At 39.5% G+C, this 14,960-nt stretch overlaps 1 protein-coding gene across 2 annotated transcripts in view, besides 1 other annotated feature; it reads right to left on the bottom strand.

Annotated features, from left to right (window-relative positions):
- SLC9A2 (solute carrier family 9 member A2) overlaps positions 1-14,960 on the bottom strand; it is a 91,803-nt gene that overhangs the window by 66,904 nt on the left and 9,939 nt on the right. The window lies entirely within an intron of this gene.
- Positions 3,281-3,509: a silencer, noted in NCBI's record as "fragment chr2:103257402-103257630 (GRCh37/hg19 assembly coordinates)". NCBI's record gives its function as "represses an EF-1alpha promoter that drives an FKBP-Casp9 reporter gene in an ReSE screen in K562 erythroleukemia cells {active_cell/tissue: K562}" and the evidence as "EXISTENCE:reporter gene assay evidence [ECO:0000049][PMID:32094911]".

The following is a 14,960-nucleotide window of genomic DNA, read 5'->3' as shown; positions in this document are numbered from 1 at the left end:
CATTCCAGGAGCCACTGGGCGGGGGGGAGCCTCCTGCAGCTAGCTCAGTGTCTGCCCAAACAGCCACCTAGTTTTGTGCTTGAAACCGAGGGCCCTGGTTGTGTAGGCACCCAAGGGAATCTCCTGGTCTGTGGGTTGCAAAAACCAAGGGAAAAGTGTAGTATCTGGGCCAGAATGCACAGTCCCTCACAGCGTCCTTTGGCTAGGGGAGGGAGTTCACTGACCCCTTGCACTTCCTGGGTGAGGTGATGCCCTATCCTGCTTCTGCTTGCCTTCCATGGGCTGCACCCACTGTCTAACCAGTCCCAATGAGATGACCCGGGTACCTCAGTTGGAAATGCAGATATCACCCGCCTTCTGCATTGGACTTGCTGGGAGCTGTTCCTATTTGGCCATCTTCAACAGAAAGTAATTCTTTGCTGTAATCATCTCTCTTACTAGGTTAGAAGTGATATAATCAGTGACAAAAGTAATGGCCGTTAAGTTAGGAGACAGGTATACCTGAATTCATCGTTTTAAATGTCTGTGCAAAAAAAAAAAAGTAAGAAAATGAAAATTTAAAAAGATACAACAGGTCAAAACTCCCATGCTGATCATTAGTGGGATCACGCCTATGAATAATCACTGCACTCCAGCCTGGGAAACATAGTAAGACCTCCATCTCTTTAACAAAAACAAAAGTGAAAAATGAAAAAAGATGAAAAAAGCAGAAAAAAACAGATTGCTGTTTTTGGGAAGATGGAGTAGATGCATTTTTCTTTATTCCACTCTATACACCTAAAGAGCCTGGATACTATATGTAAAGCAAATATAACTCTGAAAGATAGCAGAAGAAATGCTGGCTGGAGACCCCCAGACCATGGCATTCAGTTCTCTGGGTCTTCTTTTTGTCTCTCATGTCTCAGACTTGGAGCTGAAGAAGCCGGCAGCCCAGAAATGCCAATGGGCACAGGCAACAAAAGCCCCAACAATAGCCGGCTTTATCTAGACAAGAGAATAGGGAAGAGTCAACCTCACAAGGCACAGAAGTTTTACACAATAACTGCTCCTCTCCAGCCAAACACCACAGAAGAAACGGTGGCCCCAACTGCAGCAAAGTCTGAATGGGCTGTTTAGATTCCATCCTCACCAGAGTGTAAGGAACACCCTGGCTTTTCTATTGGGGTGGTGTCAGAGAAGGAAAAGGGCAGAAGAGGGATTTTCTTCTCTGCTGGGTGATAATGAGCACTCCCCTCCCTGTAGAGCCAGGAAGGACGACGTAAAGAACGCAGAGAACATGGACGTCACCATAGTCCAGCCACAAGGCAACCCACTTTTGACCCCTGACTGACAAAAAGACAGAAACCACAGATTATCAGTTTGAGAATGAAACTGTATCACTACAGACCCTGTAGAAATCACTACAGACCCTGTAGAAATCAAAAAGTTCACAAGGGAATATTTGAGCAACCATATACACACATGACATCTAAGCTGAAATGGACCAGTTCGTCAAAAAACACCAACTGCAACAACCAATTCCTCAAAAAACACCAACTGCAGTTTGTGTTGGTGAAGAAAATATGAATAGCCCTCAACCAATATGAAGAAAATAACTGAATAGCCCTACAACTAGCAAAAACAGTTAAAATTTGAAGTTGTAATTTTAAAACTCCTCCCCCAAAAAATCTCCAGGTCCATATAGTTTCTCTAGTGAATTCTACAAAATAAAAGCAATTCTATACAACTTCTTCCAAAAAACAGAAGAGGAGGGAACACTTCTCAATTCATTTTATGAAGCTAATATTGCCCTGACAGATACCAAACCAGACAAGAGCAGTACCAAAAAGAAAACAACAGACCAATACCCTTTAGCAAGGAGTATTGATGCAAAAATGTCAGCAAATAATTCAGCAATATATAAAAAGAATTGTGCACCAGGATCAAGTGAAGTTTATTCCAGGGATGCAAGGCTGGTTCAATATTCAAAAATTCACCAGTGTAATCCATCGTATCGATAGGCTAAAGAAAAAAAAAACCACACGATTATATCAATTGATGCAGAAAAAGTATGTGACGAAATTCAACATCTATTCATGATTAAAATTCTCAGCAAATTAGGAATAGAAATGAACTTCCTCAGCTTGTCAAAGATCATCTTCAGAAAGCCTGACTGGTTCTAAATGTCAATTTTAACCACACAGAAAGGTAGCCAGCTCATCTTTAAAACTCCAAGGAGGTGCTGGAGACAGCATGTTGAAGAAATGCTTGCACAGCCTGTAAATCATTAGGTGGAAACCACGTACATTATGGGAAAATCATTACAAGGATTCTTCCTTCCTAGAAATTGATAAATAACTTATGTTACTGCTTATCTTTTCATTCATTAACTCACAAGTATTTCTTTATTATTATTATTATTATTATTATATTTTAAGTTCTAGGGTACTTGTGCATAACGTGCAGGTTTGTTACATAGCTATACATGTGCCATGTTGGTTTGCTGCACCCACCAACTCATCGTTTACATTAGGTATTTCTGCTAATGCTATCCCTCCCCCAGCCCCCCACCCCCCGACAGGCCCTGGTGTGTGATGTTCCCCACCCTGTGTCCAAGTATTCTCATTGTTCAATTCCCATCTATGAGTGAGAACATGCAGTGTTTGGTTTTCTGTCCTAACTTACAGGTATTTCTAAGCACTCACCATCATGAAATGTGTCAGGCACTAAGGACACAGCAATATCCCAGACAGACATGACTTCTGTCCTCATGGAGTTTACAGTTTACAGGGAAGAAGGATGTCGAGCAGGTGATTACACACAGCATGCTTGTTACGGAGCAGGAAGTGTAAGTTTCAACACAATTACATGGCAGGGTCTCTGATCTTGTCTTCCCTGTGGGGGAGGGGCTTTTTAAGGAAATCATTTTTCACCTGAGAAGTGAACAGGAGTTGGAATTCTGAAAACCAAGAAGGGTCTGAGGGTCTTCTCAAGCAGAACGGCACGTGCAAAACTCACTAGAGTGGGGACAAAGGTGGCCCACAAGAGACACTGCATGAAATCCAAAAAGAGGGAAAGGGTGATGTGTTCTGGGACCTGTCATCCACAATTTGGATTTACCATAAGGCCATGGGAAGTAACACCCAATATGGAAAGGAGGTGAGGAAAGAGCTATGCTTTTCATTTGAGACGTTTACAGAGCGTTTGGGCAGGACTGTGCCTGAGCTCTGTGTGGCTCTCTCTCCTTCATGACCCTGCTGAGGCCCCTGACAAACTGCCCACCATCCTGAGTTCACAAATCCATTTGAGAGTCTGTCGCACCCACTAGAGCACAGGGTCACAGGGCTGGCGCAAGTTTTATTCACTGTGACGCTCCTATTACCTCATACAGTATGTAGTAAGTTGTGTCAGCAAGAAGTATATATTTGGTCTCTGCTCCTAGTTCCTGGCACAGAGCCCCTAAAACCCTTGTAATGTCCTGAGCAATAAGGGCAATAGGAGCATCTGTTATAATATTCAGTCTTCGTGTCTGGTTCTAGAGACATAAGAGCTTACAAGACTTTCAGAATCCCTGGAGTGATAAGTGTCTTTTGTATGCTAATGAGATGACTGGTGGCTGGGAGTCCCTAGATAGCTTCAAGATGGGTGCTGGTTGCCAGAAAGACCAAGGCAGGATTAGAGGCTTGGGACTTCCAACTCCATCACCCAAATTCTGGGGAGTGGAGAAGGGCAGGAGGTTGAGTTCCATCACCTATCTAATGGGCCCTCCATGAAGACCCTAAATGATGAGGTTGGGAGCTTCTTTGTTGGTGGGTACGTGGTGGAGCTGGGAGGGTGCTGCATGCTGAGAGGAAATAGAAGCTTGGCACCCTCCCTATGCCTGCCCTGTGCACCTCTTCACCTGGATGCTCATCTGTATCCCTTTATAACAACCAGTAAACTAGTGTTGCCCTCAGTTCTGTGAGCTATTATAGCAAATGATCGAACCTGAGCAGGTCAGGGGACTCCCAGTTTGTAGCCAGCTGGTCAAAAGTATGGGAAGGCCCAGGACTTTTGATGGTCATCTGAATCATGGGCAGTTTTGTGGGACCGAGCCCTTAACTGTGGATTCTCTCCCGACTCCAGGTGGTTAGGGTGAGAATAGAATTGAATTTTAGGATACCAGGCTGCTGTCTGGAGAGTTGGAGAATTGGTTGTTGGTGTCAGGGAAAAACCAACACATTTTGTGTGAGAAGTGCTGAGAGACAGCAGAGAAACACAAGTTTCTTCCTAGTATGGTAACAAAGAAAAAGGCTCTTAACCTGCCCTCTGAGCTGGCTCGTTTCCTTAGGTATTGTACACCAAGCCTCAGGAGACAGATGCAGTGAAAATGCAGCAGATGTGCATGTTTTAACTGGAGACTCCAATGCCAGAAAGTTACAGAGTTTGTATCTCACTTTTTGTCTCACACGCCTCGCAATCCTAGTACCAACCTTTCTGTTTTCTCTGATCTTTAATTATTTTATTTCCCAAGAAAATGAACAGCCACTGGTCTATATTTGATTGCACTGGAGGTTTATGCTTTTATTACTACCGGTCATTTCTATGTTTGTCTCAATTTCATTAAAGTTGTAAGAGCTATATTGTTCCTCCTTAAAATGTTCACTTTTGCCAGACATAGAAGAACAAATACTGTATGATTCTGCTTACATAAGGTACCTAGAATGGACAAATTCATAGAGACAGAAAGCAGAATAGAGTTTACCAGGGGCTCAAGGGAGGAGGTGACAGGGAGTAAGTGTTTAATGGACACAAATTTTCAGTTTGTGAAGATGAAAATGTCGTGAAGATTGATGGAGGTAGTAGTTGCAAAACACTGATAATGTACTCAATGCCACTGAATTGTTCACTTACAAATATTGCTGTGACTGCATAAGCACTGCTAAACCAACTCGGAGAAAGGATAATGCTGCTAAATGGATCTCTGCTGGTAGGCATGGTCACCATGCAGTGTTCTGAAATTCTGATTGATCCCCTGATACAGAGTCTGAACTAGTCCTTCAAAAGGCAACTCGACAAATGTTGATATAAAACGTGCAAAGCCTGGGCTGTTCAAAAATAAGAAGCAAAACAACAGAAGTTTTTGGCAGCTCAAAAGGTAAAACAAGTAATTTTTCACAAAAACACTCATAGCAAAATGTCAAAGAATAGGAAAATGGTTGAGTGAATGATAGCCTATTAACATGATATAATAATCTACCACAGCATGCATGTTTATTATGTCAGTTTTTCTGCAGGTTTCTATTTTTTTAGACAGGGTTTCATTCTGTCACCCAGGCTGGAGTGCAGTAGTGCAATCATAACTCACTGCAGCCTCCAGCTCCTAGGCTCAAGAAATCCTCTCACCTCAGCCTCCTGAGTAATTAGGACTACAGGTGCACACCAGCACATCTGGCTGATTTTTAAATTTTTTGTATAGACAAGGTCTCACTATGTTGACCATGCTGGTCTCAAACTCCTGCTCTCAAGGGATCCTCCCAACTCAGCCTCCCAAAATGTTGGGATTATGGGCATAAGCCATCACTCCTGGATTTATTTGAAGTAATGTTCAGTGAAAAAAGAGCACAGAATGGTTTTAAAAGTTTTTATTTTGTTTTAAGACTGTTAAATTCTTTGATTTTACTCACAGATATGTTTTCTGAAACTCCTGGCCTCAAGCAATTCTCCTGCCTTGGCCTCCCAAAATGTTGGGATTACAGGCATAAGCCACTGCGCCCAGACTCACAGACACATTTTTAAAGAAAGTGCATCTCCACACTTGATCAAAAGGCTGAGAAGCAGTGGAAAGTGCCTCTCTTTAGTGAGCATAAGGAACACTTTCATTCAAGACATCAATAATTGCCAGGACCATAACTGATGTACCCACAGAGTTTACCTTTCACAGACGATGAACTCATTGTGTGACTTAACACAGTGCCTCCTGAGTGCAATCCCAGCTCAGCTTCCCTTTGGCTTGTGCTTCTTATTCAAGGTGGGAAGCATAAACCCCTTTCCCTTAGATATTCCATAGTGTCCTTCCCACATTTGTCAATGGTCAGAGTATGTCAACCATTTCTATTTATTTGTCTTTTTGTAACATGATCAATTTCTGAGAATAATACTCATTTTGATCAGTGTTAACTTGACTATAAAACATATTCCAACTGATCCTGAGTCCCTAAGTGTCCCACATAATCAGCTCAGCCCTTTTAAATATACCCAGGTATAAAGACAAGAAGCAAAATTTCATGTAACATGAAAAGTCTGAAGCAGAGTTTGCAAGCTTGCAGGCCACGAGCCACCATGGCCTTCACGCCTATTTTGTTGGGCCTATCTAGTGGGTTCAAAGATTGAGCTCATATTGAGAAACTGAGAGGATCCACATGTAAATTCTTCTGTCCAAGTTATCTTGGAAAATCAGCAAAACTGGGCTTTTGTCACCCATCTTATGCCAATTTCTGCAAAGTGGCCATCAGCTGGAGCTTGGGCAGGGCAAGAGCTGGCTGTCCAGCTTGCTCCCCGTAACCCCTCCCATCTCTCAGGGCATGAAGAGGCACCAACAGGGCCCACACTGACAGCTACATGTCTATCTTTTTAGACTCCTTCCTTCTAGTCTCAACCACAGCAATGAGAACACAACTTAGGCAGAGATTCCATGAATTAGGTAACAGATTTCCCATCCTTTAAGCAGATGAGTGAGGGACCATCTCCTCACGGGCCAGGGGTGCCTCCCTGTCCCAGCTGGGGCACTGCAGTTGGTTTTTATCAATGGGGTGAGATCTCTGGCAGGTCCAGTACAGCACACAGAGCTGGTGAAGTTCACTTCTGCAGGTAGGTGGCTCTGCTGCCCTGGGAGTCTCTTTTTCACTGGAGGCAGCTGAATCCTACTCTGATACCCAAGCCAGGGTTGGGCGCAGGATTTGACTCATGCCCTGGTCACCTCACTGCCTGCATTATATTCTTTCTGTAACCCACACCACACCCACTGGACAGCTCGGAAATGATCACTGGCTTAGTTGTGCTGGCACTGCAACTGTGCCCCAGGAAATAATAACGATGGCACTGGCCAGTTTTCAAAGTATTTCAGCATGTATTCTATCTGGGTGTGAAACTTGTGTCTCCCAAGCTGAGAAAAGGACTCTACAGATGGCAAGGGAATTTCTCATACAGCCAGGTGGGAAACAGGATCCTCGCTATTAAATACTGAGAGCTGCCCTTGGACATGCGGAGTATTCTTATTTAGAAAACTCTGGGACTCCAGTTTCCTGTGAGGAACGGCAGGTGAAGCAGTCACAGAGCTTGCTCTCAGTCTGTTAGGACTGCAGGTATAGGTCTCACAGCTATGAAACAGATTCAACGGATCTTCGGTGATTCCACCCATCTTTAACTTTTTCATCTCCTCAAGGCTCTAAGCCCTCCACTTTTTCTTTTTCTTTTCTTCCTTTCTTCCAACCCTCCCATTTTAGAAACACAATCTGATGAAGGGGTTTGACCAAGGAAGGACTCAATTTGAAGAGATCATTCTGAAGGTAAAACTTGCCAGTGCCTAGACAGTGTTTAGGAGGAGTTACAGAGTCCAAGGGGTTGACAAGTTCTAGTGACTATTTCTGAACAGATCCTTTGCACAGCTTAGTTAAGCTGGGGGAAGGGCCACTAGGGCGTGCCAGTGCTGATAAAGACTCTGGTACACTATAACCTAGAGTCAGAACTTCCCATGCCAGCCAGCAGTTGAAAGCAATTTTTATTCTACTGCCCCAGGCTAGATGTTAAATCTTAGGATTTATCGTTCTCTCAACTCATGTGTTAGTAAACGATTTATGCCAATTTTGGCTTTGCTGTTTGCACACTGCTATCATTAAGCCATATAAAGCTTTCCAGGGACTCTACCCCACCCACCTAACCGCCTTGTGTGGGAACCATATTTTCTGTTTTCTGGTTTCTTTTCCTTCAAGAGCTTGCCTTCTAAGCAAATTTACCACTTGCTCAAAATACGTAGATCAAAGTATAGTGAAGGAACCCACAATTGCCAGTAATTGCTACCTGATTTCATTTTTCAATTAAGTGGTTGCTAACACTTAACTGCATTCACCAGTTATTTACATGGCAGGGAAATATTTGCACACTGTTGGCTCAGGCTAAACTAAGAAACTATCCCATTTGGTAAAAGACTGTATTTTCCAAGCTTGCTAGAATACTATCCCTTTCATTCCCTTTCCCTCCTCCCTGACTTCTGTTACCAAGTTGGTGGTCTTTGTCTTCCCATTTGCTTATGGTTGCAAAAATCAAAGGGGTTTCAATGAGTATGTATTGGGATGTGTATTTTAAAGATTCATGGAGATTCTTACAGTTCCATATAGTTCTACAGTCATCATAATTATTACGTTCCATTAAAATAATGGTCAAACCTACTAACACATTCAGTGGGAAAACAGAGGACTAGAGTCTTGCCAATTATACTCATTTGTTCCAAGATTTAGGAACAGTAACAGCTCCCTGGTTTTAGTGGCTTCAAAACAGAAAATTGAAACAAGACCAAATAAAAAGAAAAAGATCAAAAAAAAAAAAAGAAAAAATTATGCAGATGGAGCCAATCATTAAGTAAACAGATTAGCTATCTTATCAACCAAATCCCTTTAGCAAAACCATCACCTCTCATGTGTGGTGCTTAGAATGTGAGCACATGAATGAATGAATGTCAGTTGTAACACAAAACAAAACAAAATAAGATACAGACTCTTCTGAGGTTCAAAGCAGATTACAAATTACATTGTGAAATGATTGAAAATATAAAACAGTGTTACTTGGTTTTAACTATATACGTTGTAAGTGACATTTGTAAAAAGACACCCATGTCCTTGGAACCTCTCTTGAGGAGGGATGGACAGCGAGTGAACAGCCAACTCACACATAAATAATCAGATGTCAGAGAGTGATAGACAGCTCAGAAGAAAGCAAACCTGGGCAACAGGATACAGAGAAACTAGGGCCAGGGCTGTTGCACACAGGCGTGCATGTATTCTTATTTCCCTTTAAAGCTCCTCGAGCCAGAGTCAGCATCTTCCATACTCATCCAGAAACTTCACGAGCGAACACACAAAGAATGCTGCCATTTTCCTAAGTAAGCAGACCAGGCGTGTTAACACGAACAATGTATCCTTCCCAACCCTGAACACCAAGACTTTCAATCAGATAGAAAAGAAGAAGCCGCAATTTTTCAGTATCATTTCTCCTCACCATTCCAGTGTTCCGTAAGAGAAAATGTACAGTCAGCCGATGCACGCTTCTGCCTTAGAATACTGGTGATGAAAAGCGTGGGTTGACATTTCTAAAATAGCAATAATTACTTTAGGCAGCACTTTACTTTAAGATTCTTTCCAATCTAGATTCTGAAAGAAACACTATTTGTACAAAAAGCACAAAAGGCCTAGGAAAGCAACTGCTGAACAACGTGCTTACCACAAGTGTGTGAGCTGATGCATCTGTGGACCCTGATAACACAGAGGAGACCCAGAAGCTCTGGGCTTTCCAGGAAGTGTCCGGAGGAGGGTCAATGAGAGAGCCTACTCTTATAGGGAGTCTCAGCTGACTGTGAACCCTGCAGGCCTAGTCTTTCACCTAGCCCTCCACCAATTATGCCTGGCTGCTCATCTTTCATTTTCCAAGACAAGAACCTGGAATAAAAAAAAAGATGTGCATTGCCTTTCTTTTTCATTGCAAACAACTTAGCAAAAGCAGAAAAAAAATGATTTTTTTAAGCTTACGTAACATATTTCAGAGGCTGACATGTATAATTTAGAAAGAAACCTATTTATTCATAACAGCAATGGCAGAAGATCAGGACGTCTAACAACTTGCTATGGAGCAAATGGACAAAACAGATTTTCATGGTATGATACTATTATACATTGGAGAAGAAAGAAAGAAATCTGTTCTCCTTCAAGGCTATCCACATTTCCAAGGTCTATAAAGTAGCAACTGTTGTAAATGTGTTAACTCTATCCTCACAACAACCTAACGAAGAAGCTGCTACTATGAGCTCATTTTACTGATGAAATAACAGAGGTCAGAGAAGTTAATTGACTCACCCAAATCCATAGCTAGTAAGCAGCAGGGCTGGGATTTTGGACACAGACCTTAAGTTACCACTAAAAGTATATCCAATAATAGTATATACACTATAGTACAGTGATCAAATCAATTACCATCCAAATGAGGATATTTGAGAGTGAAATGACACAATAATAATATATGTGACAGGTCATTAGTAACAAATGTAAACCAGAAATATCATGGACAACCAAGGAGTGTGGTAACTTTAATTACATCATTAAAGTGTGGTGAAAAAAAAGAGTTTCTCCAAATTTTATTGAGTTACTCATTTACTCAGTAATTACTTATTGAGTCTGTACTATGTACCAGGCCTTGTTCCAGACAATGAGTCAAACACAAAATCCTTTCCCTCATTGAGCACACATTCTAATGAATGTCATTTATATGTACATGTGTTTCTATATGTGCCTGTTTGCATGTGTAATACGTGTGTATGTGTGTGCAATGAAACATATTTAACATCTTTTCTCCTGTAAATCTGTTGTAGTTGAACTTATTAAAATCTACATGACAGCTTAAGTTATATGGGTTGAACCTTCTCTTAACCTATGAATACTTAACGTGTTAAATATATATCTCAGAAGCATTACAATTCTGTATTCTGTGCATCATGGATGATGGACAAGACCAGGCCAAGATTCTGAAGTTCTAGACTCATGGTCTGGCTCTGGTACTACTGAGTTCCGCTACCTTACCTTTTCCTTAGCTCTTTGTGTCCTACCCAGTTTGAAGTTGTTGTGAGGTCATACTAATCCTAACTTTTGGGTTGCAGTGTACTTTCTTCATGTTTACTTTGATTCGTCCTCACAGAATCACACGAAGGAAGCCGGGTGCTATTATTATTGCGTGATTTTACAATGGCAATCTGAGACTGTCATAATGAGGCCTACGGGTCAAGCATGAGCCTCAAATGCAGGCCTCTGGCTCCAGGTTAAGAGTGGGTAAAGTGTGCTGGAGACCACACCGGAAGTGTGATATTTTAATATCCTTTCCCGTGAGAAACAGGGGGCCCGGTGAGACACATCCAAGTGATGAAGAACTAGCTGTGGCCCCACCTCTGCCACTTGATAGCTGACACCTTGGACAAGTTACCTAAGCTCCCTAAACTCTTATCCTCATCTATTTTTTAAAACTAGGAATAATAATGGTGCCTACCTTCCAGAATTACCATGAGAATTAAATAAGACAATGAATGTAAAGCGCTTGGCTCAAATACCTGACAGAGAATAATGTTCTGTCCTTGTTAGCTATTATTATTTTATTAAAGAAACTGTGATAGAGGAATTACCAAGTCTCACTCATCTCCACCTTTCTGTGCTACAAGAAAATGCACCACTGGTTGCATTACCCTGCTCAGGTTTCCTGGCCAGTGGGTCTCCAGGAAACAGGCCCAGGAATTGGGAAAAGCAGCCAGAGGCAGAGTCACAGAAATATGGCTATGGAGTTGTTTCACTGCCCTGTGATTTTCTAAACAACTTTCCATGGATAGCAAAACCTTTATCCTTCTTTAGAGTGTTTCCCAGACAGAGCAGATAGGTGTAATCTGATTCATTTTTAGGTGAAATTTCTAAATGTATTGTGAGTTTGATTTTTCTTTTCTGTCTTTCCCATGTAAGCCTTTGTATGCCAACACAAACCATAACATGAAACTCACCTGGAAAGTATGTGTGTCACAGTCATAACAGAGATCTTTTGGTGGAATTCCCCTGCCCTACCCACCAGAATTATTAGAGAGGAAGAGGAATACAAGGCGTCTTCAAACAAGGGATGAATTTGACAAATCAAGATGAGAAAGCCCATGTGCAGTGATAAACAATGCACAGGACTGTTGCAGGAAGCGCATCAATTATGACTCATACATTTAAAAGATGTAATTGTGAGAGAATAACCTATAATTGTGCATGTATCATTAAAATGACAATACGCCCATGTCTACACATCACTTTAATATAATATTAATGTAATAAACACATGCTTCTCTTGGCTTAAGTCTCTTTTGCTGTAAAAGTAACAGCTTTGTTATAAATGATGTACTCCCCTGCAGGCAATCTTATATTATCCTTATGGAAATATTAAACAGATAGGGCAAATATATATATATATATGTATTATATATATAATAAATATATATATTTATATCCCCACTTTCATTTATATATATATGTATGTATATATATGTGTATATATGTGTATATATGTATATATACATATATATGTATATATGTATATATACATATATATGTATATATATGTGTATATATATGTGTGTATATATATGTGTGTGTATATATATGTGTGTGTGTATGTATATATATATATATATATATATATATATATATATATATATATCCCCACTTTCATTAATTAAATGGAAGAACCAAGTAGATGAATACTTGTTATGGTCATAAGACCAAGTTAATGGCAGATGTGGAATTACAACAGGGTCTTCCTGCTTCTAATCCAGGGCTATCTTTCCCAAAACTTAGGTCAAACACTTCTGTCAACTGCTAAGCTATTATTCTTCTACACAAGCATGAAAATACGCAAAATAAAACAGAAGCAGTACAGTCACACCCCCACATCCTTCAGATTGAAAACTAGGAAAGTATACATTATTTTTACCTTACATTAAAGAGAAGCCATTATGATAACATAACCATGAGAATTAGGCCTTCTATAGAAAGTATGTCCTTAAAACATGCTGTGTAAAATGTCACAGAGATATCCAACAATATGGACACAAATGGTGTCTCCTCATACTACTACATAAGATATTAATATCTAGCTGAGTTCAAAATTAAGGAAAAGGTCTAGGAGGCAAAAAATAAGGAAATCAAAATGAGATATGTCAGTAGGATTTGAAGTCACAGTGAACCAGGGGAACTCCTGACACAGATGCGTGACCTATGTGCTAGGATCTGGCATTTTAACACCTACATGAGGATGAGACATTTGACTTCAGACCACTAAAGAAAGGGCTCCTGAAGAAATTCCTGAATTTCCAACAGCTACATTGTCCTAAATAAATAAATACTAGCACAAAAAAAAAAGAAAAGATGCTTTTAGCCAAGAAAAAAAGGAAGGAAAAGAAATATGTCAACTCCTTATGGCTTTGAGCCAGGGGAAATTCGCCCATGAAGTATAAAATTCCAGGTCTATACCACATACAGGTATTAAGTCTATATCTATAGTACTTGAATCACATAGTAAAGCCAAGCTAAGAAATGAATAGTAAAAACATATCATTAAAACCCTAGGTCCCAGCAAGAAGCACACTCCAAACCATTTTGTAAGAACATTTTACAACTTAAAGAAAACAGACGTTTACCAAATAAACATCACCTGCTGAAGTTAAGCTCATAATTAAAACTACAATCTACATAAGGAAATAAATATTGAAAAGAGAAAGTCAGTAAATGGATAAATATAAGAATTAGCACCCCAAGTATTACAAATAACAGAACAATCCAAAAGAGACTATAAAATGAATATAGTTTAAAGGAATAAAGGAATAAAAGAATAATAAAACCAATAATTACTATAATTACGTAATGCAACAGCATGAACAAAACACAAATAGACTTGAAAAAGGGCCCAAACAGCTTAAATGAAAATATAATTAAAACTAAAAATCCAATGAGTAGGTTAAGCACAGATTAGAAATGCACTGAGAGTAAAATATGGTAAGCTGGAAAAAAGATAAGATAAAATCACCAAGAAATACCACAGCAATGAAGAGACGAAAAACGTGAAAGAGCTGTTAAGAAGCATGGAAGTATAACAAGTTCTGAGCAAGAAAAATAAAGTAAATCTATACTTAGACACGTTAAAAAATAGCAGAATATCAAAAACAATTTAAAAAACTTAAATAAAACCAGAGACATAAGTCAAATTAATATCAAAAGTCAGTGTAACAACATAATTCCACTTACCAACAAAAGAGGACAAAAAGTATTGAAGTAATATATTCTGAGTGATGAACAACACCAAACCCTACACTCAGTTACATTATCATTTAATAGTATAATAAAAATAAAGATGTTTCCATACAAGACTAAAGCCTTCCCTGAAGTATCCACTGAAGAATATACATCAGTAAAAACAAAAACAAACAAAAAAGAATCCGGAAGGCAGAAAGAGATAAAAAGTAACAATGAAGAAAAACTGGAAAATATGTTTACAGATCTATGTAACTACTTCTTATACAAAGTAAAAACTAATTTGGAGGAAGTTAAATACAGTCCAAATATGAATTATGACAAAATATTATAATTCTGAAACACGCAGTTAGAATTTTTTTAAGTTCAAGTATTAGGAAGAAGATGATAAAAATAGCAAATACTTTCATGTTCTAGGAATTTATTTGATACCATTATGTTCCATGAAATTATTGTAACACTTTACATGTATTAGCTAATTTACTTTACACAACAGCCTATGACATTGCTACATTGATTGTCCCCACTTTACCACTAGGACTACTGAGCCCTGCGAGTTTAAGTTATATACTCAAAATCACACAACCACAAAATATGTAGGAAAATGTATCTGAGATGTGAGCAGCCATGGTAGTCTGGTTGACTCCTGTTAAATCAGATAATCACATTAAACTGTATAGTATCCTTAAAAAGAATAGCAAAAGAATATATAATTATGTATGAAAAACAAATAAGAAAGAGAAATCAACCAAGCCAAAATATGGCAAGAAAGAAAGATTAGGATACCAAGTGAAAGCATGGTAAACAGAGAGCAAAATAAGTCAAAATATATCATTATACACAATAAGTGTAATTACATTTCTCTTTTTAAGCTACGGTGTTTTAAAATGTGAAATTAAAGATGCAAAATCCAGA

Source organism: Homo sapiens, chromosome 2 (assembly GCF_000001405.40).
Source record: "Homo sapiens chromosome 2, GRCh38.p14 Primary Assembly".
In the NCBI taxonomy this organism is placed as follows: Eukaryota; Metazoa; Chordata; class Mammalia; order Primates; family Hominidae; genus Homo; species Homo sapiens.
This window is presented reverse-complemented; position numbering and strand designations above follow the sequence as displayed.